General features: G+C 52.5%; 2 protein-coding genes across 4 annotated transcripts in view, besides 6 other annotated features; one reads left to right on the top strand and one right to left on the bottom strand.

Moving 5' to 3' along the window:
- ZP3 (zona pellucida glycoprotein 3) overlaps positions 1-13,263 on the bottom strand; it is a 44,548-nt gene extending 31,285 nt beyond the window's left edge. The window contains exon 1 of the mRNA NM_007155.6: positions 12,988-13,263. The gene's annotated coding sequence lies outside the window, so the exon portion shown is untranslated. The remainder of the gene's footprint in view (positions 1-12,987) is intronic.
- SSC4D (scavenger receptor cysteine rich family member with 4 domains) lies at positions 1,088-21,448 on the top strand. 3 transcript variants are annotated; one of them, XM_024446664.2, is made up of 12 exons: positions 1,088-1,371; positions 6,280-6,478; positions 7,624-7,710; positions 9,742-9,777; positions 10,194-10,499; positions 11,988-12,065; positions 12,953-13,267; positions 15,455-15,532; positions 16,881-16,955; positions 17,069-17,380; positions 18,744-18,821; positions 20,410-21,448. In XM_024446664.2, exons 2-12 carry the CDS (start codon positions 6,346-6,348, stop codon positions 20,724-20,726), a joined length of 1,815 nt encoding a protein of 604 aa, XP_024302432.1. In that variant the 5' UTR covers positions 1,088-1,371; positions 6,280-6,345; the 3' UTR covers positions 20,727-21,448. The 3 variants fall into 3 exon arrangements, with proteins under 3 accessions (XP_024302432.1, NP_542782.1, XP_016867239.1); NM_080744.2 differs by lacking the exon at positions 7,624-7,710; XM_017011750.2 differs by lacking the exons at positions 6,280-6,478; positions 7,624-7,710; positions 9,742-9,777; positions 10,194-10,499.
- Positions 4,541-5,041: an enhancer, noted in NCBI's record as "H3K27ac hESC enhancer chr7:76035061-76035561 (GRCh37/hg19 assembly coordinates)". NCBI's record gives its function as "activates a minimal SCP1, AML or CMV promoter by ChIP-STARR-seq in naive H9 embryonic stem cells {active_cell/tissue: H9 hESC(naive)}" and the evidence as "EXISTENCE:reporter gene assay evidence [ECO:0000049][PMID:30033119]".
- Positions 12,971-13,100: an enhancer, noted in NCBI's record as "active region_26200". NCBI's record gives its function as "activates an Ori minimal core promoter by ATAC-STARR-seq in GM12878 lymphoblastoid cells {active_cell/tissue: GM12878}" and the evidence as "EXISTENCE:reporter gene assay evidence [ECO:0000049][PMID:35858748]".
- Positions 13,231-13,390: a silencer, noted in NCBI's record as "silent region_18316". NCBI's record gives its function as "represses an Ori minimal core promoter by ATAC-STARR-seq in GM12878 lymphoblastoid cells {active_cell/tissue: GM12878}" and the evidence as "EXISTENCE:reporter gene assay evidence [ECO:0000049][PMID:35858748]".
- Positions 16,851-17,650: a silencer, noted in NCBI's record as "silent region_18315". NCBI's record gives its function as "represses an Ori minimal core promoter by ATAC-STARR-seq in GM12878 lymphoblastoid cells {active_cell/tissue: GM12878}" and the evidence as "EXISTENCE:reporter gene assay evidence [ECO:0000049][PMID:35858748]".
- Positions 20,094-20,930: an enhancer, noted in NCBI's record as "H3K27ac-H3K4me1 hESC enhancer chr7:76019172-76020008 (GRCh37/hg19 assembly coordinates)". NCBI's record gives its function as "activates a minimal SCP1, AML or CMV promoter by ChIP-STARR-seq in primed H9 embryonic stem cells {active_cell/tissue: H9 hESC(primed)}" and the evidence as "EXISTENCE:reporter gene assay evidence [ECO:0000049][PMID:30033119]".
- Positions 20,931-21,768: an enhancer, noted in NCBI's record as "H3K27ac-H3K4me1 hESC enhancer chr7:76018334-76019171 (GRCh37/hg19 assembly coordinates)". NCBI's record gives its function as "activates a minimal SCP1, AML or CMV promoter by ChIP-STARR-seq in primed H9 embryonic stem cells {active_cell/tissue: H9 hESC(primed)}" and the evidence as "EXISTENCE:reporter gene assay evidence [ECO:0000049][PMID:30033119]".

The raw sequence follows: 23,709 nt of genomic DNA, 5'->3' as shown, positions 1-23,709 counted from the left end.
GACCTCAAGTGATCTGCCCACCTCAGCCTCCCAAAGTGCTGGGATTACAGGTATGAGCCACCTCGCCTGGTACATCTAGTACTTTCTTTTTCCAAGAAATAGGAAACAGCATCATGACCAGGAGTCAGGAAATTAAGTCCTGCCGGGCCCACACTCATGCCACCTGTTTTCCTCCCTTGGCCTCAGTCTTCCCAGCCTCACCATAAAAAGCTGGGACTGGTCCCCAATTTGTTTGATCCTCAGGAGCTTCTCAACATTTTTTTTTTTTGGCCAGTGCAGTGGCTCATGCCTGTAATCCCAACACTTTGGAAGGCTGAGGCAGGAGAATCCCTTGAACTCGGGGAGACGGACGTTGCTGTGAGCTGAGATCACACCATTGCACTCCAGCCTGGGCAACAAGAGCGAAACTCCATCTCAAAAAAAAAAAAAAGAACTACACAAGAAGGCAAAATTAGGCTGGGTGCGGTGGCTCACACCTGTAAACCCAGCACTTTGGGAGGCCGAGGCAGGCGGATCCCTTGAGGTCAGGATTTCAAGGCCATCCTGGCCAACATGGAGAAACCCAGTCTCTACTAAAAATACAAAATTAGCCTGGCATGGTGGTGCATGCCTGTAATCCCAGGTACTCGGGCGCTGAGGCACGAGAATTGATTAAGCCTGGGAGGCGGAGGATGCAGGGAGCCGAAATCGTGCCATTGCACTCCAGCAGCCTGGGTGACAGAGAGAGACTCTGTCTGAAAAAAAAGAAAAAAGAAAAAAAAAGAAGGCAAAATCAGCAGCCCCCAAGTGAGGTTGTGAGGTCCTGTCTATGTGGGAAACCCACTCCATACACTGTGGCTCCTGGGACCATTTCCAAACCCTCAGCTGAGATGTGGGTCGGGACATCATCAGGCGGGACTCCTGGGCTGGATCAGGGCTACCTCCAAAGATCAGGATGCTTGGCTGCCCTGCAAAGGGGTGGAGACCTATCCAGGCCTTCCTGAAACCTGAACCCTGGGGTGGGGGGGCTGTGGGGGGAGGAGGGGCTGCCTGGCCTTGAGAGTCCATGCCTCCCCCAACCACATAGCTCCGCCTCCACCTGGGTGCCCTTTTTCTGGGGCCGCTCCAGCTGGTGCCGGCCACCTCCACTCCCCTTTGCTTCTTGCTGTCCCTAAGGTCGGATGGGGACAGGCTGGGGCCACCAGCCAGCTCCATGGACAGGGACTTTGCCTCTGCTCACCTTCCAGCTGTGGAAAGAAAAGAAGAAACGCCTGTGTTGATTTCCATTTGGAAGATCCTTCCTCCTCCTAAACTTCCAGGGGCAGACAAAGTGATTCGATCTTGGATTGACTGTAGAAGAAGGGACAGAAAGAGCCCAGAACATTCCCCCAGGTATGAATCCTTCACTTTTGCTGGAGTGTTTGTGTGTGTGTGCGTGTGCATGCATGTGTGTGTGTGTGTGTGTGTGTGTGTGTGTGTGTGAGACAGAGAGAGAGAGAGAGAGAGAGGCAACCATTTCCCACTGGTCAGATGGGAAATTGTCCTTGTTAATCTCCCAAGCCCCTTCTGGCTGCTGTTTTCTATGATTCTGTAGCCATCACCTTGATTCAGTCACTCAACAAACATTTCCTGAGTATCCACCCTGTGCCAAGGGCAACCACTGAATGAGATCTGGTTTCCACCCTCAAGGGTCTGCAGTCTCGATGGAGAAACAGTAATGATAACAATAGCTACCACACCTAGAGTGGGCCAGACACTGGGCTAAGCCTTGTGAAAACATTTGCTCATTGAACTTGGCAAAAATGATAAGGGGTAAGTGGATCACGAAAGCCATTTTACAGATGAGAACAGTGAGGCTTTGCAAGGTGAAGGTCATACAGCTAGGAGATGGTGGAGCTGATGCTGCAATATGAACCGCTGTGTTAGGCTGCCGGCTGTACTGTAGAAAATGTAGGCAACAGATGGACTCTGAAAGGGATATGAAGGGATGGGAGGGCTTTCAAGAGCCCTAATCACCAAGGACAGGGAGGGATGAAGCCTTGTCTTGCCAGTGTTCCCTTGGGCGTGAAGCAGGAGCAGACTGGAGGGGCCCACCTTGGAGCTGGGAGGGTAGGAGGCAGGCTTGGCAGAGGGCTCTGGGGTCACCTGGGATTTGAAATCTGTGGGGATCAGGATCGGGGGTCCTTCTCCCTCACGCCTGGGCTGAGGTGGCAGGGGATAGAGGTGGGGAAGCTGAGGATTCCTGGCAGGGTCTCTGGAAGTTGCCTGTCCCCAGGGTGGGGGCTGATCTGGCCTGGGGGGCCAGTATCCCAGCAGCCTGAGAAGTGGGTGGCACTGAGGCCAGGAGGCAAAAGGAGGCCAAGATAACTATGTGCCCCCCCACAACAAGCAAAGACTGGACTGTGTCTTTCCCCCTCCTCATGGTTCTCAGCTCCCATCTCCCAGCTGTCCCCAGTCCAGGCAGAAGGAGGACAAAAGGTGATTATTCCACTGGGGGCTGTCCTGGGCCCCATGAATGGGGTGTTGAAATCCCTGTGTCTGCATCCAGATAGGCTTTCATCTTCTCCCCAACCAGACTTTGTACACCAGGGCACAGGTAAAGCCAGAGAGAGGAGGGGGTTGGAGGGATGGTGGGGAGCTCCTTCTGGGACAAGCACCCATGTCCCCCAGTCCCACTCTCAGTGTAGCCCAAACAGAACCATCCTCTCTACCGCCGCCTCCTACAAAGTCCCCATCAGGGTGGCTGGGAGCCAAATGGATGCTCCTAGCTCCCTGACCCCCAACACCAAGAGTAGCCCAGTCCTGCCAGTTCAGTCTCCCACATATCCTTCGCATCTCTCCTTCCTCTCTGCCTCCTATGGCCTAGAGTCTGGACAACTGCATCAGCCTCTAAACCAGCTTCCCATCTCTCCCCAACCAACCAGTCCACAGTGCACACAATGCATCAGACCCTTGCTAAAAGTCTGCAAGAAAAGGGGACGTGAGAGAGGCTTCTGGGACACTGGTTACATGGTGTGAATGCTCTTTGAGCTCTAAGCTCATGGTTTATGCACTTTTTTTTTCTTTTTAGTTAGAGACAGGGTCTTACTCTGTCATTCAAGTTGGAGTGCAGTGGCATGATCATGGCTAACTGCAGCCTTGAACTCCTGGGCTCAAGTGATCCTCCTGCCTTAGCCTCCCAAAGCACTGGGATTACAGGCATGCACCACCATGCCCAGCTAATTGTTTTTTAGTTTTGTAGAGATGGGGTCTCACTATGTTGCCTAGGCCGGTCTTGAAATCCTGGGCTCAAGAGATACTCCCTCAATTAGCTGGGCGTGGTGATACCCGCCTGTAATCCCAGCTACTCAGGAGGCTGGGGCAGGAGAATCGCTTGAACCTGGAAGGTGGAGGGTGCAGTGAGCCGAGATTGTGCCACTGCACTCCAGCCTGGGCGACAAGGCGAGACTCTGTCTCAAAAAAAAAAAGAGATCCTCCCGCCTCAGCTTCCCAAAGTGCTCACAGGAGTAAGCTGCCACACTTGGCCTAGAGTTAATTTAAATCAGGGCCAAGCCTGGTGGCTCACACCTGTAATTCCAGCACTTTGGGAGACCGAGGCGGGTGTATCACTTGAGGTCAGGAGTTCCAGACCAGCCAGGTCAACATGGGGAAACCCCGTCTCTACTGAACATACAAAAATTAGCCGAGTATGGTGGCACATGCCAGTAATCCCAGCTACTCGGGAGGCTGAGGCAGAAGAATTCCTTGAACCCAGGAGGTGGAGGTTGCAGTGAGCTGAGATCAGGCCACTGCACTACAGCCTGGGTGACAGAGGGAGGCTCTGTCTCCAAAAATAAATAAATAAATAAATAATTTAAATCAGAAGAAATGTGCCAATAAAATGAGAAAAATATTAAGTAAATCATAGTTACCATGACACACAAATACATAAAAAAAGTGAAGGAAGGTCTGAGAGACTAAACGCTGCTTACAATGCTCGGCCCATTTTGGGTGGAAAGGCCTTGAAGATTTTTTTTTTTTTCTGATTTAGGATTGGGGTATTAAAAACAAAAAAAGTGCAAGACAGGAGGATCACTTGAGGCCAGGAGTTTGAGACCAGCCTGAGTAACACAGCACGAGAGCCCATCTCTACTAAAAAGAAAAAAAGAAAAATAATTAGCTGGGTGTGGTGGTGCAAGCCTGCAGTTCCAGCTCCTCAGGAGGCTGAGACGGGAGGATCCTTTGAGCCCAGGATAGGGAGGTTGCAGTGAGCCATGATCATGCCACTGCACTGCCGCCTGGGTGACAGAGTGAGACCCTATCTGTAAAAAATAAAAAATAAAAAAATTCTTTAAAGTAAAAAAAATTAATTAATTAATTTGAAAGGGAGACTATATTGTTCTGATAAACGGAAAACCAGAGTCCTTTTTAGAAGGCATTGTACAATTTAAAAAGAATTATTGAAAATAAAACAATACATGAGTATCTATATCCTCCCAAATTAAGTGGGTTGCTGTCCGTGGCACCAATACTATATTTCGAATGCACAGACCAGGTGCGGTGGCTCATGCCTGTAATCCCAGCACTTTGGGAGGCTGAGGCGCGTGGATCACCTGAGGTCAGGAGTTCAAGACCAGCCTGGCCAACATGGCGAAAACCCATCTCTACAAAAAATGAGCCGGGCGTGGTGGCGGGTGCCTGTAATCCCAGCTACTCAGGAGGCTGAGGCAGGAGAATCGCTTGAACCCGGGAGGCAGAGTTTGCAGTGAACGGAGATCGCACCATTGCATTCCAGCCTGGACGACAGAGCGAGACTCCATCAAAGAAAGAAAAGAAAAGAAAAGAAAGGAAAGGAAAGGAAGAAGGAAGGAAGGAAGGAAAGAAAGGGAGGGAGGCAAGAAAGGGAGAGAGGGAGGGAAGGAGGGACAGAAGGAAGGAAGGAAAGAAAGAAAACAAAATCAAATGTGCAGCCCTGGAGGATAATCTCTGAGTCCTTGGGCTGGTCATGGTTTGGGCCGAGCCAACCCTGCCAACCCCCTCTCCCACCATTTGCCCTCTTCACACATCCTCAGCTACAGCCATGACCGACTCCTCATGCGTTTCCATCCAAGCAGCATCTTTTTCACCTCCCAGCTTTTGCCTCTGCCGTCGTCTCCACTCAGAATGCCAAAGGCAAGTGGAAATGTCATTTTCCCCTGAAGCTGACCCCTCTAGGAAGTAAACACTTGGAACTTTTTTCTTTTTCCTGCAGCCTTGGTGCAAGTGATCCTCCTACCTCAGCCTCCCCATTAGCTGCAGCTACAGACATGTGTCACCATACCCGACTCATAAAAAAGAAATGTTCTGGGCTGGCACGGTGGCTCACGCCTGTAATTTCAGCACTTTGGGAGGCCAAGGTGGGCGGATCCCTTAAGGTCAGGAGTTCGAAACCAGCCTGGCCAATATGGTGAAACACCCTCTCTACCAAAAAAAAAAAAAAAAAAAAAAGAAAGAAAGAAAGAAAAAAATACATATATATATATATATATATATATATATATATATATATATATATAATTAGCTGGGTGTGGTGATGCACGCCTGTAATCCCAGCTACCCAGGAGGCTGAGGCAGGAGAATCACTTGAACCTGAGAGATGGAGGTTGCAGTGAGCCGAGATTGTGCCATTACACTCCAGCCTGGCCACAGAGTGAGACTCTGTCTGAAAAAAAAAATCTACTAATTTTTGTATTTTTAAAATTTAATTTTTTTCTTTTTGAGGCAGAGTCTTGCTCTGTCGCCCAGGCTGGAGTGCAGTGGCATGATCTCAGCTCACTGCAACTTCTACCTCCCGGGTTCAAGAGATTCTCCTGCCTCAGCTTCCCGAGTAGCTGGGATTACAGGTGCACTCCACCACACCTGGCAAATGTTTGTATTTTTGGTACAGATGGGGTTTCACCATGTTGGCCAGGCTAGTCTCGAACTCCTGACCTCAAGTGATCTGCCTCCCTCAGGCTCCCAAAGTGCTGGGATTACAGGCATGAGCCACCGCAGCCGGCCTAATTTTTGCATTTTTTGGTAACAGACAGGTTTTCGCCATGTTACCCAGGCTATATCTCGATCTCCTGGGTTCAAGCGATCCACCCGCCTCAGCCTCCCAAAGTGCTGGGATTACAGGCATAAGCCACCACACCCGGCCTCATTTTTAAAAACTTTTTGTAGAGATGGGGGTCTCACTATGTTGCCCAGGCTGATCTCAAACCCCTGGGTGCAAGCAATCCTCCCACCTCGGCCTCCCAAAGTGCTGGGAGGCCCAGCAACATTTGGGATCTTTAATTTCAGATGTTCCAACTGTGACTTCTCCCTGGCGCCTTGATGGGAGCATCTGAAACACCCTTCACCATCTAGATGCACAAGGAAGCAGAGATGCTAATTGGTCCCCAGCTGGATGAGAAGCGCTGGGGGTGGAGGTTGGGAGATGGGAGTGCTGCCCCTCCCTTCCTCCCCCAAGCCCTGTCTTTCCTTCTCCTCCTGCCACTGGGTGAGTCCTCCCCTGTTAGCCCTTGCCACTTCCTCTTTCTGAATCTCAGTTGTCCCAGCTGTAACTTTATAGTAGGAGGAGGGTTGTGAATGAGCTCGTTCCTGTTGTTCTTTCCAATGCTGACCTTTGCCCAGAGTTGACAAAAGAGCTAAGAGTCTGAGTTTGGGGAATGAAGGGCTCAGTACTGGAGGTGACAGGTAAACGCACCCATGGAATGGGCAGTTAGGGGACACTGGGCACAGGGAAGGACAGAAAGAGGGTGTGCTCACCAATGGCTGTTGGAAAGACAGCTGGTAAAAGAGATGAAATCAAATGACCTAGGGACTATCCAAACATAAGAAGAAGGCCGGGCTCGGTGACTCACACCTGCAATCCCAGTACTTTGGGAGGCCAAGGCGGAAAGATCACCTGAGATCAGGAGTTTGAGACCAGCCTGGCCAACATGGTGAAACCCGCGTCCCTACTAAAAATACAAAAATTAACCAGGCTTGGCAGCACGCACCTGTAATCCCAGCTACTCAGGAGGCTGAGGCAGGAGAATCACTTGAACCTGGGAAGTGGAGGTTGCAGTGAGCCAAGATCACGCCACTGCACTCCAGCCTGGGTGACAGAGCGAGACTCTGTCTCAAAAAGAAATAAAGATAAATAAATAAATAAGAATAAGTTGAATCAGCCAGGCACGGTGGCTGTCGCCTGTAATCCCAGCACTTTGGGAGGCTGAGGAGGGCGGATCATGAGGTCAGGAGTTCAGGACCAGCCCGGCCAACATGGTGAAACCCCGTCTCTACTAAAAATACAAAAAATAGCTGGGCATGGTGGCGGGCGCCTGTAATCCCAGCTACTCAGGAGGCTGAGGCAGGAGAATTGTTTGAACCCAGGAGGTGGAGGTTGCAGTGAGCTGAGATTGCGCCATTGCACTCCAGCCTGAGTGACAGGGCGAGACTCTGTCTCAAAAAAAAGAAGTGGAGTCTCAGTTTCTTCATCAGTAAAATGCGTACACAAGTACAGGCTGCAGGGGGTGGTTATAAGGAAAGTGTCAGAACTGTCATACTCGGACCACAAGTGAGGAATTATTTTCCGGCTTTCCATTTTGCCTGGTAGGCAAATTTCACTTCCCTGTTTCCTCTCCCACCTCCACTCTCAAGCATCGTGCTCAGAACTGCATGATGAAGAAGAGTGTGGCTGTCTGGGTAGTCTCTCAGCTCTACCCTTGATTTGCTACGTGGCCCTGAGTAAGTTGTCTAATCTCACTAACCCTGAAGTTGCCCTGTCTGTAAAATCCTGCCTAACTTATAAATTATCCTAATGATTAACTGAGTTCGCCTAAAGAAACCAATGAAGGCCGGGTGCAGTGGCTCACGCCTGTAATCCCAGCACTCTGGGAGGCTGAGGCGGATGGATCACCTGAGGTCGGGAGTTTGAGACCAGCCTGACCAACATGCAGAAACCCCATCTCTACTAAAAATACAAAATTAGCCAGGCATGGTGGTATGCCTGTAATCCCAGCTACTTGGGAGGTTGAGGCAGGAGAATCACTTGAACCCAGGAGGGGGAGGTTGCGGTGAGCAAAGATGGCACCATTGCACTCTAGCCTGGGCAACAAGAGCGAAATTCCGTCTCAAGAAAAACAAAAAAGAAAAAAAGAAAGCAATGAGGACATACATGATGGCTGAAGCAGAAAGACTCAAGGCCAGGCAAGGTGGCTCACACCTGTAATTCTAGCACTTTGGGAGGCTGAGACGGGAGGATCACTTGAGGCCAAGAGTTCGAGACCAGCCTGGGCAACAAAGTGAGACCCCTGTCTCTACAAAAAATTAAAAAATTAGGCCAGGAGCGGTGGCTCATGCCTGTAATCCTAGCACTTTGGGAGGCTGAGGCAGGCGGATCACTTGAGGTTAAGGGTTCAAGACTAGCCTGGCCAACATGGTGAGACCCCATTTCTACCTAAAAAATATAAAAATTAGCTGGGTGTGGCGGTGTGCGCCTGCAGTCCCAATTACTCGGGAGGCTGAGGTGGGAGAATCACTTGAACCCAGGAGGCAGAGGCTGCAGTGAGATGAGATCATGCCACTGTGCTCCAGCCTGAATGGAGTAAGACTCTGTCTCAAAAAAAAAAAAAAAAAATAGCTGGGCAGGGTGGCAGGAGCTTGTCCCAGCTATTCTGGAGGCTGAGGCGGGAGGATGGATTGAACTCCGGTATTGGAGGGTGCAGTGAGCTATGATCATGTCACTGCACTCCAGGCTGGGTGACAGACTGAGACACTGTCTTAAAAAGAAGAAGAAGAAGAAGAATGAAGTAGAAGGACTCATCTAGGTAAATCTTTAGGGAGGGAAATATGATGAATCCCAAAGCCAATTTACACATTTAAGGTGGAGCTACTGAACATCTGCTGAGTACCAGGTTCTGAGCGGAGAGTCTGGGGACACAGAGTTGAGACAGGCATGGCCACATTACCAGAGAAGGCCCTGAAAGAGGCCTGGGTATGTGGTGTCCAGGAATTCAGAGGAAACAGAGAGCACTTCTAGCTGAGGGCTCCAGGATGGCTTCCCAGAGGAAGGGGCTCCAAGCTGGGAATTGAAAAAAGCTCTTGCCTAGGTGTGTTGGCTCACACCTATAATCCCAGCACTTTAGCAGGCCAAAGTGGGTGGATTACCTGAGGTCAGGAGTTCAAGACCAGCCTGGCCAACATGGCGAAACCCCATCTCTACTAAAAATACAAAAATTAGCTGGACTTGGTGGTGTGCACCTGTAATCCCAGCTACTCGGGAGGCTGAGGCAGAAGAATCGCTTGAACCCCAGAGGAAGAGGCTGCAGTGAGCTGAGATCGTGCCATTGCACTCCAGCCTGGGTGACAAGAGTGAGACTTTGTCTCAAAAAAAGAAAAGAAAAGAAAAAAGGCGAGGCTGGTCAGAATGGTTAGAAGATTCTAGAAGGTTTTGTAGTGAAAGCTCAGGAGCTGAGACTCCTGTAGGTAACAGGGGTCATTATGGGATTTAGCATTAGTTTGAGATGTGCAGATCTACAGATTTACACCCGCAGATCTCTCTAGGTTGGCCCAGGGACCACTAGGAGAGGGGTGAGGCAGGGAAGCCAATCAGGACAGTCAGAGAAAGAGACAATGGGGCTTTGGCAAAGCAGGGGTACTGAAGTCCAAGAAGATGGGGGTAATGTTGAGGACTGTGGGAGTTGGGGGGTGTGTTCCTGGGACCAGGGAGCCATGGTGTGGGCAGAGGGGCCAATGCTCTTCCTCACTCTGTTTCAGCCAGCGCCCTACAGCCCACTCCACTGCCCTTTCAAGGTAGGTGCCCCACCCCGCCCTTCCTCACCCTCACCTGTCCGCCAGGTACTCCAGCCTCAGACAGGGAACCACAGGAAGTGATGACTAACCAGCCCCCCTTGACTCTAGATGCCCCCATCTCAGGGGAGCTGTAGTCTCCCCATTTTCCAGAAGGGATTGATCCCAAGGTTCCCATGGCTTCATGGCAAAGCGGGTAACCTGGCTGGGTCCCGTAGTGCACGTCTGTGATCCTAGCGCTTTGGGAGGCCAAGGCAGGAGGATCACTTGAGCCCAGGAGTTTGAGACCAGCCTTGGCAACATAGTGAGACCCCGTCTCTACCAAAAAAAATAATAATAAAATAAAAGGACATCCTGGAGTGGGCATGCTGGAGGTTGGACTCAGTGACCCCCTGGTGCCAGCTCCACCCTCTTCACAGAGCTGAGGCTGGTGGGGGGCCCCAGCCGCTGCCGGGGCCGCCTGGAAGTCATGCACGGTGGCTCCTGGGGCAGCGTCTGTGATGACGACTGGGACGTGGTGGACGCCAACGTAGTGTGTCGCCAGCTGGGCTGTGGCCTGGCACTGCCCGTGCCACGGCCCCTTGCCTTTGGCCAAGGCCGAGGCCCCATCCTGCTGGACAACGTGGAGTGCCGCGGGCAGGAAGCTGCGCTGAGCGAGTGCGGCAGCCGCGGCTGGGGCGTCCACAATTGCTTTCACTACGAGGATGTGGCTGTCCTGTGTGATGGTGAGTGGAGCCCTGGGACCTGGAGGGACAGACAGACTGTGGCAGGCAGCAGGGCTGTAGGCTAGATAAATGAAGGGACTTCCCACAGGTAAGGCTGTTCCATGCAGATCAGGCCAGAGGCTACAATGCCTGGTGCCAGGGAAGAACCCCAGCCTGGGTCCCAGGGATTCTTCTGGGTCATTGCCTGACCCTGACCTTGGACCAAAAGAAAACCAGCACTACTGCTTCTATGTAAGGCTTTGATTGTCCCAGCAGAGCCCCTCTCCCTTTAAAAAAAATTTTTTTAGAGATTTTGGAGATGAGGTCTCACTGTTTGGTCCCGACCAGAGTGCAGTGGTGTGATCATAGCCCACTGCAGCCTCAAACTCCTGGGCTCAAGGGATTCTCCCGCCTCAGTAGCTGGAACTACAGGTCCAAGTCACCCCACTGGTTCCCCTCTCCTAGTTTTAAAACCAGACAATCAGCCGGGCATGGTGGTTTATGCCAGTAACTCCAGCACTTTGGGAGGCCAAGGTGGCAAGATTGCTTGAGCCCAGGAGTTTGAGACCATCTTGGGAACATAGTACCTTATCTCTACGAAAAATCAGAAAAATTAGCAAGGTGTTGGGGGCGGTCCCAGCTACTTGGGAGGCAGAGGAGGGAGGATCGCTGGAGTCTGGGGGGGTCAAGGCTGCAGTGAGCCGTGATTGTGACACTGCACTCCAGCCTGGGTGACAGAGCAAGATCCTGTCTCGAAAAACAAAGAAAAAAACGACTATTGGGGTCACACTGGCCATGCGCTCCACGTGGCATAGAGCTGCAGCGGAAACTGAGAGCAGTGCTTCTAGTTTTCAAGAAAATCAGGGGGTCTCATGAAAACACAGATTGAGGCCCAATCCCAGAGTTTCTGATTCTGCAGGTCTGGATGGGGCCTGAGAATCTGCATCGCTAACAGTTCCCAAGGGAGGTGAACTGCTTTAAGAACTGTGCTTCAGGCTGGGCACGGTGGCTCATGCCTGTAATTCCAGCACTTTGGGAAGCCGAGGCAGGTGTATCACCTGAGGTCAGGAGTTCAAGACCAGCCTGACCAACATGGTGAAACCCCATCTCTACTAAAAATACAAAAAATTAGCTGGGCATGGTGGCAGGCACCTGTAATCCCAGCTACTCAGGAGGCTGAGGCAGGCAAATTGCTTTAACCAGGGAGGCGGAGGTTGCAGCAAGCTGAGATTGCACCATTGCACTCCAGCCTGAGCGACAGAGCAAGACTCCATCTCAAAAAATAAAATAAAATAAAAAACAACAACAAAAACCGTGCTTTAGAGGAGTCCAGGACTCTGGTGTGGACCCTCTCCTCTCATACCCCAGTGTTCCTGGCTGTGACTCTTTGTGTGGCCAGAGGCTCTGGCGGCAAGCACCTTATGGGTCCATCCTCCTGCCCCTTAAACACCCCGTGGTGTGAGGATGGAGAACAGAAAGACCCCTGTATCCACTTCACTTCCTTTCCAGAATTCTTGCCAACGCAGCCCCCAACAAGGAAGATGTTAACCAGTAGAGCACCTCCTACGACACTGCCGAATGGAAAAAGTACGTAAGCATAATGTGGGCACCACCTGGGTTTTGGGAGAGGAGTCTCTCACACCCTACCCTAGGCAGTGGGAAGACAGGGATTACAAATTGAAGATGTAAAGTTAGAGAAAATGGCTGGGCATGGTGGCTCACACCTGTAATCCCAGCACTTTGGGAGGCCGAGGCCAGCGGATCACTTGAGGTTGGGAGCTCCAGACCAGACTGGCCAACATGGTGAAACCCTGTCTCTACAAAAAATACAAAAATTAGCCAGGCGTGGTGGCATATTCCTGTAGTCCCAGCTACTTGGGAGGCTGAGGCAGGGGGATCACTTGAACCCGGGAGGCAGAGGTTGCAGTAAGATCATGCCACTGTACTCTAGCCTGGGGGACACAGTGAGACCCTGTCTCAAAAAAAAAAAAAAAAAATAGAAAATGAATGGGCGGTGAGACTGGAGCTTAATCTCACAGGAAGGTCAGATGAGCCCAAGAATGATGATCATGACTAGAAGAAGAAAATGAAAAGTGCTCTAAAAGAGGGACAGTGAAAGAGGCAAAGAAGTCCAGAGGTGGAAGAGGGTCCCGTTCCTCAGGAGATCAGGGAAGGCTTCCTGGAGGAAGAGGTGTGGGGCTGTATCTTGAGGATGTCATTTGCAGTAGATGAGAAGGCAGCACGTCCCAGGCTGCCAGGAGACAGGGAGCAGGGTAGGGGGGTTGGTTTTAGGCAGAAATGATACTATGATCCCACAAGCTACCCCCAGTCTGGACCAAGGAGGCGGTACCCTGGGCAGCGGGGTGAGCAGATGCCCAAGGGTTGTAGATCCTGGGACACCGGGCTGCCCTTGCGGTGCGGACGGGGGCAGAGGCCAGTGGGAGATGCGCCCTGACCCCCGCCCCCATCCCCAGGTGAGGGCAGCGTACGCCTGGTAGGGGGCGCGAACCTGTGTCAGGGCCGAGTGGAGATCCTGCACAGTGGCCTGTGGGGCACCGTGTGTGACGACGACTGGGGGCTGCCGGATGCCGCTGTGGTCTGTCGTCAGCTGGGCTGCGGGGCGGCCATGGCCGCCACCACCAACGCCTTCTTCGGCTATGGCACCGGACACATCCTGCTGGACAACGTGCACTGCGAAGGCGGCGAGCCCCGCCTGGCAGCCTGCCAGAGCCTGGGCTGGGGTGTGCACAACTGCGGCCACCACGAGGACGCGGGCGCGCTCTGCGCAGGTGCGGGCTCTAGGGGCGATGGGCGGGGCCGGGGCAGGTGGGCGGGGCCCTGTGGCAATGCTGGAGGAGGAGGCTTCGGTGGGGAGGTGGATGGGGAGGGTGTTTTGGCTGTCTTGATGCTCCCCAGAGCTCTCCAGGCAGCATCCAAAATTACTTCTATCTCAGTCCTGTTCTAGAAGTGCCTCCGAATATCCCAGAACTCCTTGTGGTACACTCCATGGCTATGAAACAATATTGCACTAATCCAGTCTGGCCAACATGGCAAAAATTAGCCGGGCGTGGTGGTGCATGCTTGTAATCCCAGAGACTCGGGAGGCTGAGGCAGGAGAATCGCTTGAACCCAGGAGGTGGAGGTTGCAGTGAGCCGAGCTGACGCCACTGCACTCCAGCCAGGGTGACAGAGACAGACTCCATCTCAAAACAAACAAACAAAAAAACTGTACTATTGCTTCACCAATACTCGAGAATTCTATAGCAATATCCCAAGAATGCCTCCAGAATGTTCCAGCAAGTACTGTTCCTGGACCACTTTAGAGTAACACTCTAGGATAACACTCGGAGTAACACTCTAGAATTGCCCCAGAGATATTCCAGCATTCTCTGATGCTCACAGCATTACCTAGCACACCCCTCTGTCATCCTGATGCTCTAATAATAGTATTTTCTCCCCACCTAGGCCCTCTCCAATTTGGGAGGGTTTCTCAGCAAAGAGGAATAATAGGGCCAATAATGCTATTTCACAGATGGACTCTGCTCTGTAAGAGATAAAGTGGTTGCCCACAACTCATAACTCATAGCAAACTAAGGGCTATCATTCCCAGTGTATAGGTGGGAAAGCTGAGGCCCAGAGAGTCAGAGCCTTGCCCATGGTCACACAGTTAATGCAAGGCAGGCAAGCCCCCAAATCGAGGCTTAGTCCAGGAGGGTTTTTGGCTTCCCTCAGCAAAGAATTTAAGGGCCAGCTGGTGTTAGCAGCTTTCATTGACGCGGCAATGCACAGCAGCAGCAGAGGTCCTGCTCCTTGCTGAGCAGGGCTACCCCATAGGCAGTGTGCCCAGAGTAGCAGCTGAGAGGCAGGTCTGCAGTCGTAATTCTATTTACTTTCAAGTATATGCAAATTAGGGGGTGGATTATGCAGATATTTTAAGAACTAGAATAGTAATTTTTGGGTTGTCTGCGTTGCCATGGAAAGGTAACTCCAGGTGTTGCCACGGCAATGGTAAACTGACATGGCATACGAGTGGGCGTATCTCATGGAGAGGCACTCCCACCCCATCCCTGTTTTAGCTAGTCCTCAATTTGGCCCGGTATCTGAGCTCCACCTCCTGAGTCGAGTGAGTCCTCCCTCCTGCCCCATTCCCCACTCAAGAGATTAGTTGTTTTTTTGTTTTTTGTTTTTTCACTTTAAGAGGGGCTGTAGGAGGGCAGAAGTCTGTCTCAGTGAGCCCTGACAGAGCCCCTGCTAACCCTGGGCATGGCCCTTGCCCTGCTAGCCCTGTTTTCTCTGTAAGAGGGGGATAATGGGCTGGGCGCGGTGGCTCACGCCTATAATCCCAGCACTTTGGGAGGCCGAGATGGGCGGATCGCCTGAGGTCGGGTGTTTGAGACCAGCCTAGCCAGCATGGTGAAACCCCATCTCTACTAAAAAAAATACAAAAATTAGCCAGGCGTGCTGGCAGGCGCCTGTAATCCCAGCTACTCAGGAAGCTGAGGCAGGGGAATCGCTTGAACCTGGGAGGCGGAGGTTGCAGTGAGCGGAGATCGCACCATTGCACTCCAGCCTGGGTAACAAGAGCGAAACTCCATCTCAAAAAAAAGAAAAGAGGAGGATAATGAGAACTCAGGCCTGTGTATGGTCCTCCCTGATGGGCAAGGCCTTCTGTACTCCATGTCTGTTGGACACAGAGGACTTCTGATGAGAACATGGGACATTAGAGAGAAATGAAAGCGTGTCTGTTGACAGCCCTGTATAAACTGAAGTGTACACCTCACAGCACAAGTGAATTACAACCACTATCAAAGTGGGGACAGGCCTCCTTGGAACCCCGCTGCGGCTGGGCCACCAGCCCTGGAAGTAACATCTATTCTCTCCTCCAGGCAGACCCTCCTATCCTCCCCTGACAGCCCATGGCTGACCAGAGACCAGAATCTCAGCCTCTGACCCTGCCCCCTTCTCTCCTGCCCTAGGCCTGGGTCCCCCAACGCTCACAGCACTGCCATCCTCAGCCACAAGAGAGGACTGGGCTTGGCAGACAGATCCGTCCGGTAAAGAGCTCAGCCCTCCAGGCGGGAATGGTAGGGGTATGGTGGGTGCGGCTGGGAACTGGGAAGAATGTTCTGGATTCACAGGCGGGGGCCCTGGCTAACAGGCCAGGGCTTTGGCCAGATGGTGCAGAGGTGGGTGAGACAATTATGAGCAGACGGAGCAAGGATGATGAAACTCAGAGCTCTGAAAACTTCAGCGGGGTGGGAGGAGGCAGTAAGAGATTTCTTCAAAGCACAGAAGTAAAATTTGGGATGTGGGCGGTGGCTCACTCCTATAATCCCAGCACTTTGGGAAACAGGCAGGAGGATCTGTTGAGGTCAGTTAAAGACCATCCTGGGCAACGTAGCTAGACCCTGTCTCTAAATATAAATAAATAAATAAATATCTTATATATATTATATATATCTTATATATAATATATATCATATATATTATACACATATTTTATATATTTATATATATCATATATATTATACATATTTTATATATATATATATATATATTATACATACATATATTTAAATTGCCAGGCATAGTGGCTCATGCCTGTAATCCCAGCACTTTGGGAGGCTGAGGCAGGTGGATCACTTGATGTTGGGAGTTCAAGACCAGCCTGGCCAACATGGTGAAATCCCATCCCTACTAAAAATACAAAAATTAAAAATAAATAAATAAAAATACAAAAATTAGCCGGGCGCCTGTAATCCCAGCTACTTGGAAGGCTGAGGCAGGAGAATTGCTTAAGCCTGGCAGGCAGAGGTTGCAAAGAGCTGAGATTGCGCCACTGCACCACAGTCTGGGCGAGACAGAGCGAAACTCTGTATCAAAAAAAAAAAAAAAAAATTAGCTGGGCATGGTGGGTCGCACCAGTCCTAGCACTTTGGAATACCGAGGCAGGAGGATCACTTGAGGCCAGGAGTTCTAGGCTGCAGTGAGCTATGATCGCACCACTGCACTCCAGCCTGGGCGACAGAGCAAGACCCTGTCTCGAAATTAAAAAAACTTTTTTTTCAATGGGATGATGCTGAGATTGGGAATTGAGAGACCTTATGAGGGGGTCGATTGAGATGAAGGTTGAGTCAAGGTTAGCAGTGCAATTGGAATTAGGATAGGAACTATCCCTGGGCCTGAAGTTAGGATAATACCTAGAATTAGCTTTCGGTTCATTCAACCAAGTTTCCCGGAGATCCCAACCCGCGCCAGACAACGTGGTGACTCTGGGGTTGCAGCTGAGTGGGGGTACGGGTGTGGTAGGGTTGGGGGTCTTGGTAGGCGTCCCCGTGCCCTGCTGCAGGACAGAAGGCCTCCTCGTCCCCTTCGAACGCCCTAGATGCCCTGTCTCCACAGCTACAGGAGTTGGCCCCCAGCCTTCCCGGGAGACAGCACTGCTCACCACCGCCGCCTGGGCCGCGGGGAAGAAAAGTAAGTGGCGGTGCCTGGGTCTGCGGGGGATGGGGAAGGGTAGGGCTGGGGCTCTGCCGGGAGCCGGCAGCCCCAGCCCAGCCCCTCTGGCCGCGGGCCTGTGCGCCCCGCAGGTGGACGGCTGCGACTGGTGGGCGGCCCGGGTCCGTGCCGCGGCCGCGTGGAGGTGTTGCACGCCGGGGGCTGGGGCACCGTGTGCGACGATGACTGGGACTTTGCGGACGCGCGCGTGGCCTGCCGCGAAGCGGGCTGCGGGCCTGCGCTGGGCGCTACGGGACTGGGCCACTTCGGCTACGGCCGCGGCCCCGTGCTGCTGGACAACGTGGGCTGCGCCGGCACCGAGGCTCGCCTGAGCGACTGCTTCCACCTGGGCTGGGGCCAGCACAACTGCGGCCACCACGAGGACGCGGGAGCGCTCTGCGCAGGTGAGGCTGACAGCGAAGGTGAGGCTGACAGCGGGGCCGCGCACTGCGGCGTGGGAGGGGCGGGGCGGCGCCACGCGCGAGGCCTCTCTTGCGGCACTGCCGCCCGGGGAGCATGCGCACTCCGCAGAGGGGCGCCGCCCCGCCGTGCGCCCGCTCTGCGGCTGCGCGGCGGGGCGAGGCCGGAACGGAGAGCCTTCTGCAGTGGAAAATGGGGCGGGGCCTGGTGAGCGCCGCGTGGTGCAGCTGTGAGGGGCGGTGTCCGAAGGTCAGGGCTAAGGCCGATCCCAGTTCGAGAAAGGCATCAAGTCCGTAAAGGGTGGGGCCGTTTGCTCCCGGCTAAATCTAGACCCCGCAAAACTCTATTAAGCAGAGAGTGGATCACCCTTACCAGAGCTAGCGTGTGACCTTTGGGCGGAGTCAGTGGAAAGGGGTGTTTGCAGTTTGGCAGAACATTGTGAAATTCATTGATTGCTGTGGGAATTGATATCTTCACCCTCATTTGGTGCCCCAGGGCTAGTAGGCCCTACTTCCCATAGTTTTGGCCACAGAGGGTTCTGTTTTGGGGCCAAGGTTTGGAGAGGCACAACACCTATTTCTTTTTTTTTTTCTTTTGAGACAGAGTCTTGCTCTGTCACTCAGACTGGGCTGCAGTGGCACGATCATAGTTCACTGCAGCCTTAAACTCCTGGGCTCAAGCTATCCTACTCCGCTCAACCTCCAGAGTAGCTGGGACCACAAGGGGCATGCCACCGTGCCTGGCTAATTTTTGAATTTTTTTTAGAGATGAGGTCTCACTGTGTTGCCCAGGCTACTCTCGAACTCCTGGCTTCAAGCGATCCTCTCACCATGACTTTTTTTTTTTTTTTGAGACAGAGTCTCAGTCTGTCACCCAGGCTGAAGTGCAGTGGCTCACTGCAACCTCCGCCACCCAGGTTCAAGCGATTCTCCTGCCTCAGCCTCCTGAGTAGCTGGGACTACAGGTGCATGCCACCACGCCTGGCTAATTTTTGTATTTTTAATAGAGACGGGGTTTCACCATGTTGGCCAGGCTGGTCTACGAACTCCTGACCTCAGGTGATCCACCCGCCTCGGCCTCCCAAAGTGCTGGGATTACAGGTGTGAGCCACCATGCCCGGCCTTACTTTGACCTCTTAAAGTGCTGGGACTACAGGTGTGAGCCACTGCACCCACTCAGTGACACAACCCGCATTTCTGATCAAGGGGAGCAGTTCTTCAGGAACCTGTGAAGTCCTTTTTGTCCCTAGGACAGGCTTTCCTGGGGAGAGCAGGAGGGGACCTGGCCCTAAGGAACATGCTTCCCATTGTGAGAGCCACCTCTTTATCTCTGTCCTTCCTGAACCAGGCCCAGAGGAGCTGGGACTGCAAGTCCAGCAGGATGGTTCTGAGACCACGCGGGTGCCCACTCCTCGGCCCAGGGACGGTAGGTGCCCATAATCCCCTGAAAGTGGGTGGAGGCATCGGGGTCTTAAGGACCTGGATTGGGGGAGGTCACAGCCTAGGTTATAAAGCTCAGCAGATTCACACCGGGACCTGGAAGTCTTGTCCTTTTTGTTGGTCTCAGGCCTCCTTTGTAGGAATATGGTGTCCAGAAAGAAGGAGGTGAGCTTTAAACTACAGCAATCTGGAGATTTCTAGAGGTGAGATCAGAATGAGGGGATAAGGATCCTGTCCTGAGCAGAGCAATGAAAAAATTCAGAATATAGTTCTGGGAGCCCAGGGGGGTGCAGGAGACCGTGATGACCTTCAGGGGACACAATAGGATGTAACAGAGTCTCCAAACAGCCGGCCTGGGGCTGGGGTACTGGGATTATGAACAGAGGACTAGAGAGAGAGCAGACATGAAGCACCCAGTACACGTCGCGGATCACTCAAAAACGTTTGCACGCTTTCTCCCAGTCCTGAGACTATGGGTCTGGACTGATGCTCATCTTATTTATTTATTTGTTATTTTATTTTTTTGAGATAGAGTCTTGCTCTGTCACCCAGGCTGGAGTGCAGTGGCGCAACCTCCACCTCCCAGGTTCAAGCGATTCTCGTGCCTCAGCCTCCCCAGTAAGTGGGATTATAGACATGTGCCACCACACCCAGCTAATTTTGTGCGTTTGTATTTTTAGTAGAGACAGGGTTTCACCATGTTGGCCAGGCTGGTCACGAACTCCTGACCTCAAGTGATCCACCAGCCTTGGCTTCCCAAAGTGGTGTGATTATAGGCATGAGCCACTGCGCCTGGCCCCATCTTATATATGTTTGAGACAGAGTCTTGCTCTGTCATCCAGGCTGGAATGCAGTGGCACAATCACGGCCACTGCAGCCTGGACCTCCTGGGCTCAAGCAATCCTCCTGCTTCAGTCTCCCAAGTAGCTGGGACTACAAGGCACACACCACCACACCCGGCTAATTTTTGTTTTGTTGTTTTGTTTTGTTTTTAGAGACAGGGTCTTGCTATGTTGTCCAGGCTGCTGTCCGGCTTCTGGGCACAAGCAGTCCTCCCTCCTCAGCCTCCCAAAGTGCTGGGATTGCAGGCATGAGCCACCGCACCTAGCGCCAATCTTCTTTTTTGTTTTTTTGAGACGAAGTCTCACTCTGTCGCCCAGGCTGGAGTGCAGTGGCACGATCTCGGCTCACTGCAAGCTCCACCTCCTGGGTTCATGCCATACTCCTGCCTCAGCCTCTCAAGTAGCTGGGACCACAGGCACCCGCCACCACGCCCAGCTAATTTTTTGTATTTTTAGTAGAGACGGGGTTTCACCCTGTTAGCCAGGATGGTCTCGATCTCCTAATCTCGTGATCCGCCTGCCTCGGCCTCCCAAAGTGCTGGAATTACAGGCGTGAGCCATTGTGCCCAGCCAGCGCCAATCTTACTTTAATTTCATGTGTCTGCCTTCATCTAGCGGCTCCTAGGGCAGTGCTCAGAGTGTCTCAGACCTCTCTTTACTGCCAACCTGACCTAGCTTGGGAGTGGCCTGGCATGGACCAGCCCCTTCCAACCCAGCCCTGTCCCCCCACAGGGCATCTACGTCTGGTCAATGGAGCCCACCGATGCGAGGGACGTGTAGAGCTCTACCTAGGGCAACGGTGGGGCACTGTCTGTGATGATGCTTGGGACCTGCGGGCAGCCGGTGTCCTGTGCCGCCAGCTGGGCTGTGGCCAGGCCCTCGCAGCCCCTGGCGAGGCTCACTTTGGCCCAGGCCGAGGCCCCATTCTCCTGGACAATGTCAAGTGCCGTGGGGAAGAAAGTGCTCTGCTGCTCTGCTCTCATATCCGCTGGGATGCCCACAACTGTGACCACAGCGAGGATGCCAGTGTCCTGTGCCAGCCTTCATGACCCAGCCCGCTCTGCAGACCACCTCTTCTTCTGGGAGCTGTGACCTCCCTTCCTCCTCCAGGAAGCCCTCCTCTTGTGATGACTACAGTTCACTTTGCCCCTCCTTCCCTTGCCTGGGAGAGAGCCTACCTAGACAGTGCAGTCCTGCTTGGGGGAGCCTGGCTGTACCCCCGTCCACTTACTGCGTGACCTCAGCCTGTCATCGACTGTTGTGAGCCCAATTCAGTGAAAGCTCCTGTGGTTTTGCTCAGCCAAAACCAAAACGAGGGGAAGAGGATGATTCCTAACTCTTCTGTTTGGTGGGGCTCTTTTTATAGCACCAGACTCTGCCTTCCTTGACCTAGATCCAGGAGGCTCAGGGGCTCTTTAAATGGGGTATCTCCTCTTCCCCCAACCCATCTTGGGATCCCCAAGAAGAGGGAAGGCAGGAGGGGCCTACAGCTCCTACCTTGGGCCCTCAGGGGCTGCAGAGGAACCTGGGTCCCTGTCCTGCCCTGCTCCGCGAGGGCCTGGACTAACTCAGATGGTGCTCGGCTGGACAAGGGGACTGGGGGAGGGGCCAAAGCAGGGACAGTGGCCCCTCCCTGCAGCTGGAACCAGCATCTCTGATTTATGCCGTCTCCACCACAGAGCCTCCACTTTGCAGGAGTGAAGAACCCTGGGGGCCTGTAGCCACCAGTTCATAGGTGCCAAGTCAATAAAGCATTGTCCCCCGTCTCTTATAACTGCAGTCACTGTTTGAGCACAAATGCATTCTCTGTGGCAGCAGGAAAGACTCTGGGCAGGGCTCTTGGGAGGAAACAGGGTTCGGAATGGAGGACGGTTCAAAAGCATCAACCAAGAGCTCTCAGCAGGTCCATCACATCCTGGAAATGCTGAGTCACAGTGTCAGGCCTCCATGGCGGCCCCTAGTGAGTCCCTTAACCCAACTCCTCTCTCCTTTCACATATATAGAAATCAATGTCCAGCAAAAGGAAGGGGCTTGCTCAAGGCCACATAGCAAGGCGTTGGAGTCACTAGAAGAGAGAAGAAATTTTTTTTTTTAAGACAGAGTCTCACTCTGTTGCCCTGACAAGTGCAGTGGCACAAACTCGGCTCACTGCAACCTTTGCCTCTTGGGTTCAAGTGATTCTCCTGCCTCAGCCTCCTGAGTAGCTGGGACTACAGGCATGCGCTACCACATCCGGCTGATTTCTGTATTTTTAGTAGTGACCGGGTTTCACCATTTTGGCCAGGCTGGTTTTGAACTCCCAACCTCAGGTGATCTGCCTGCCTCGGCCTCCCAAAGTGCTGAGATTACAGGCGTGAGCCACCGCGCCCGGCCGTTTTTTTTTTTTTTTTAAGAGACCGAGTGTTATTCTGTCACCCAGGCTGGAGTGCAGTGGTCTTATCATAACTCACTGCAGCCTCGAACTCCTGGATGCAAGCAATCCTCCCACCTCAGGCTCCCAAGTAGCTAGGACCACAGGCGCATGCTACCATGCCCAGCTGTTTTAAAATTTTTCTTGTAGAGATGCGATCTTGCTTTGTTGCCCAGGCTGGTCTCAAACTTCTGGTCTAAAGAGATCCTCCTGCCTCAGCCTTTCAAAGTACTGTGATTAGAGGTGTGAGCCACTGTGCCCAGCTGAGAAAAAATTCTTTTTCTTCCGTTTTGGTTTTTTGTTTTGTTTTGTTTTTTGAGACAGAGTTCACTCTTTTGCCCAGGCTGGAGTGCAATGGCACAGTCTCGCCTCACCGCAACCTCCGCCTCCCAGGTTCAAGCGATTCTTCTGCCTCAGTCTCCTGAGTAGCTGGGATTACAGGCACGCGCCACCATGCCTGGCTGATTTTGTATTTTCAGTAGAGACGAGGTTTTCCATGTTGGTCAGGCTGGTTTTTAACGCCCAACTTCAGGTGATCTGCCCACCTTGGCCTCCCAAAGTGCTGGGATTACAGGCCTGAGCCACTGCGCCTGGCTTCTTTTTTTTTTTTTAAGACAAGGTCTCACTTTGTTGTCTAGGCTGGAGTACAGTGACGTGATACCATGTTAGTTCACTACAACCTCTGCCCAGGCTGAAGCGATCCTTCCACCTCAGGCTCCCAAACAGCTGGGACTACAGGTGCATGGCACCACACCCAGCTAATTTTTGTTTGTTTGTTTTGAGATGCAGTTTCACTTTTGTTGCCCAGGCTGGAGTGCAATGGCATGATCTCAGCTCACTGCAACCTCCGCCTCCCAGGTTCAAAGCGATTCTCCTGCCTCAGCCTCCTGAGTAGCTGGGATTACAGGTGCCCACCACCATGCCCGACTAATTTTTTGTATTTTTATTAGAGACGGGGTTTCACCATGTTGGCCAGGCTGGTGTCAAACTCCTGACCTCAGGTGATTCACCCACCTCAGCCTCCCAAAGTGCTAGTATTACAGGTGTGAACCACCTCGCCCGGCCAATTTTTGCATTTTTTGTAGAGACACGGTCTCACTGTTTCCCAGGCTGGTCTTGAATCTCTAGTTTCAAGGGATCCGCTGACCTGGACCCACCAAAGTGCTGGGATTACAGGTGTGAGCCACCATGCCCAGTCCCTTTTTTTTCTTTGAGACAGTCTTGCTCTGTCAGCCAGGCTGAAGTGCAGTGGTACAATCATGATTCACTGCAGCCTCGACCTCCCAGGCTCAAGTAAGCCTCCCACTTCAGCCTCCCGAGTAGCTGGGACAATAGGTGTGTGCCATGACACCCTGATAATTTTTTTTAAAAGTTTTTTGCAGAGAGGGGGGTCTCACTATGTTGCGTAGGCCAGTTTTAAATTCCTGGCCTCAAACAATCCTCCCACCTCAGCCTCCCAGAGTGCTGGGATGGCAGGCGTGAGCCACTTTGCCTGGTCTCTCATCTCCCTTTGTTGACTCTATGTCTGCCTTCCCCCATTTTTTAAGTCCTCTTGTGATTATATTAGGCCCACCTACGTAATCCTGGATAATCCTCCATCCCGAGATCCTTAATTTAATTAC

The sequence above is a fragment of the Homo sapiens genome, chromosome 7 (assembly GCF_000001405.40).
Source record: "Homo sapiens chromosome 7, GRCh38.p14 Primary Assembly".
Classification (NCBI taxonomy): domain Eukaryota; kingdom Metazoa; phylum Chordata; class Mammalia; order Primates; family Hominidae; genus Homo; species Homo sapiens.
Note: the sequence above shows the minus strand (reverse complement) of the source record. Positions and strands in the feature narration are given on the sequence as shown.

What these genes read in the sequence shown, in the direction of transcription:
- SSC4D (XM_024446664.2), top strand. Translation starts at nt 6,346, where the DNA reads ATGCACAAGGAAGCAGAGATGCTAATTGGTCCCCAGCTGGATGAGAAG. An exon ending in CGCGGGCGCGCTCTGCGCAG is followed by an intron (nt 13,268 to 15,454) that starts GTGCGGGCTCTA and finishes CTCCTGCCCTAG; the next exon opens with GCCTGGGTCCCCCAACGCTC. An exon ending in CTGGGCCGCGGGGAAGAAAA is followed by an intron (nt 16,956 to 17,068) that starts GTAAGTGGCGGT and finishes TGCGCCCCGCAG; the next exon opens with GTGGACGGCTGCGACTGGTG.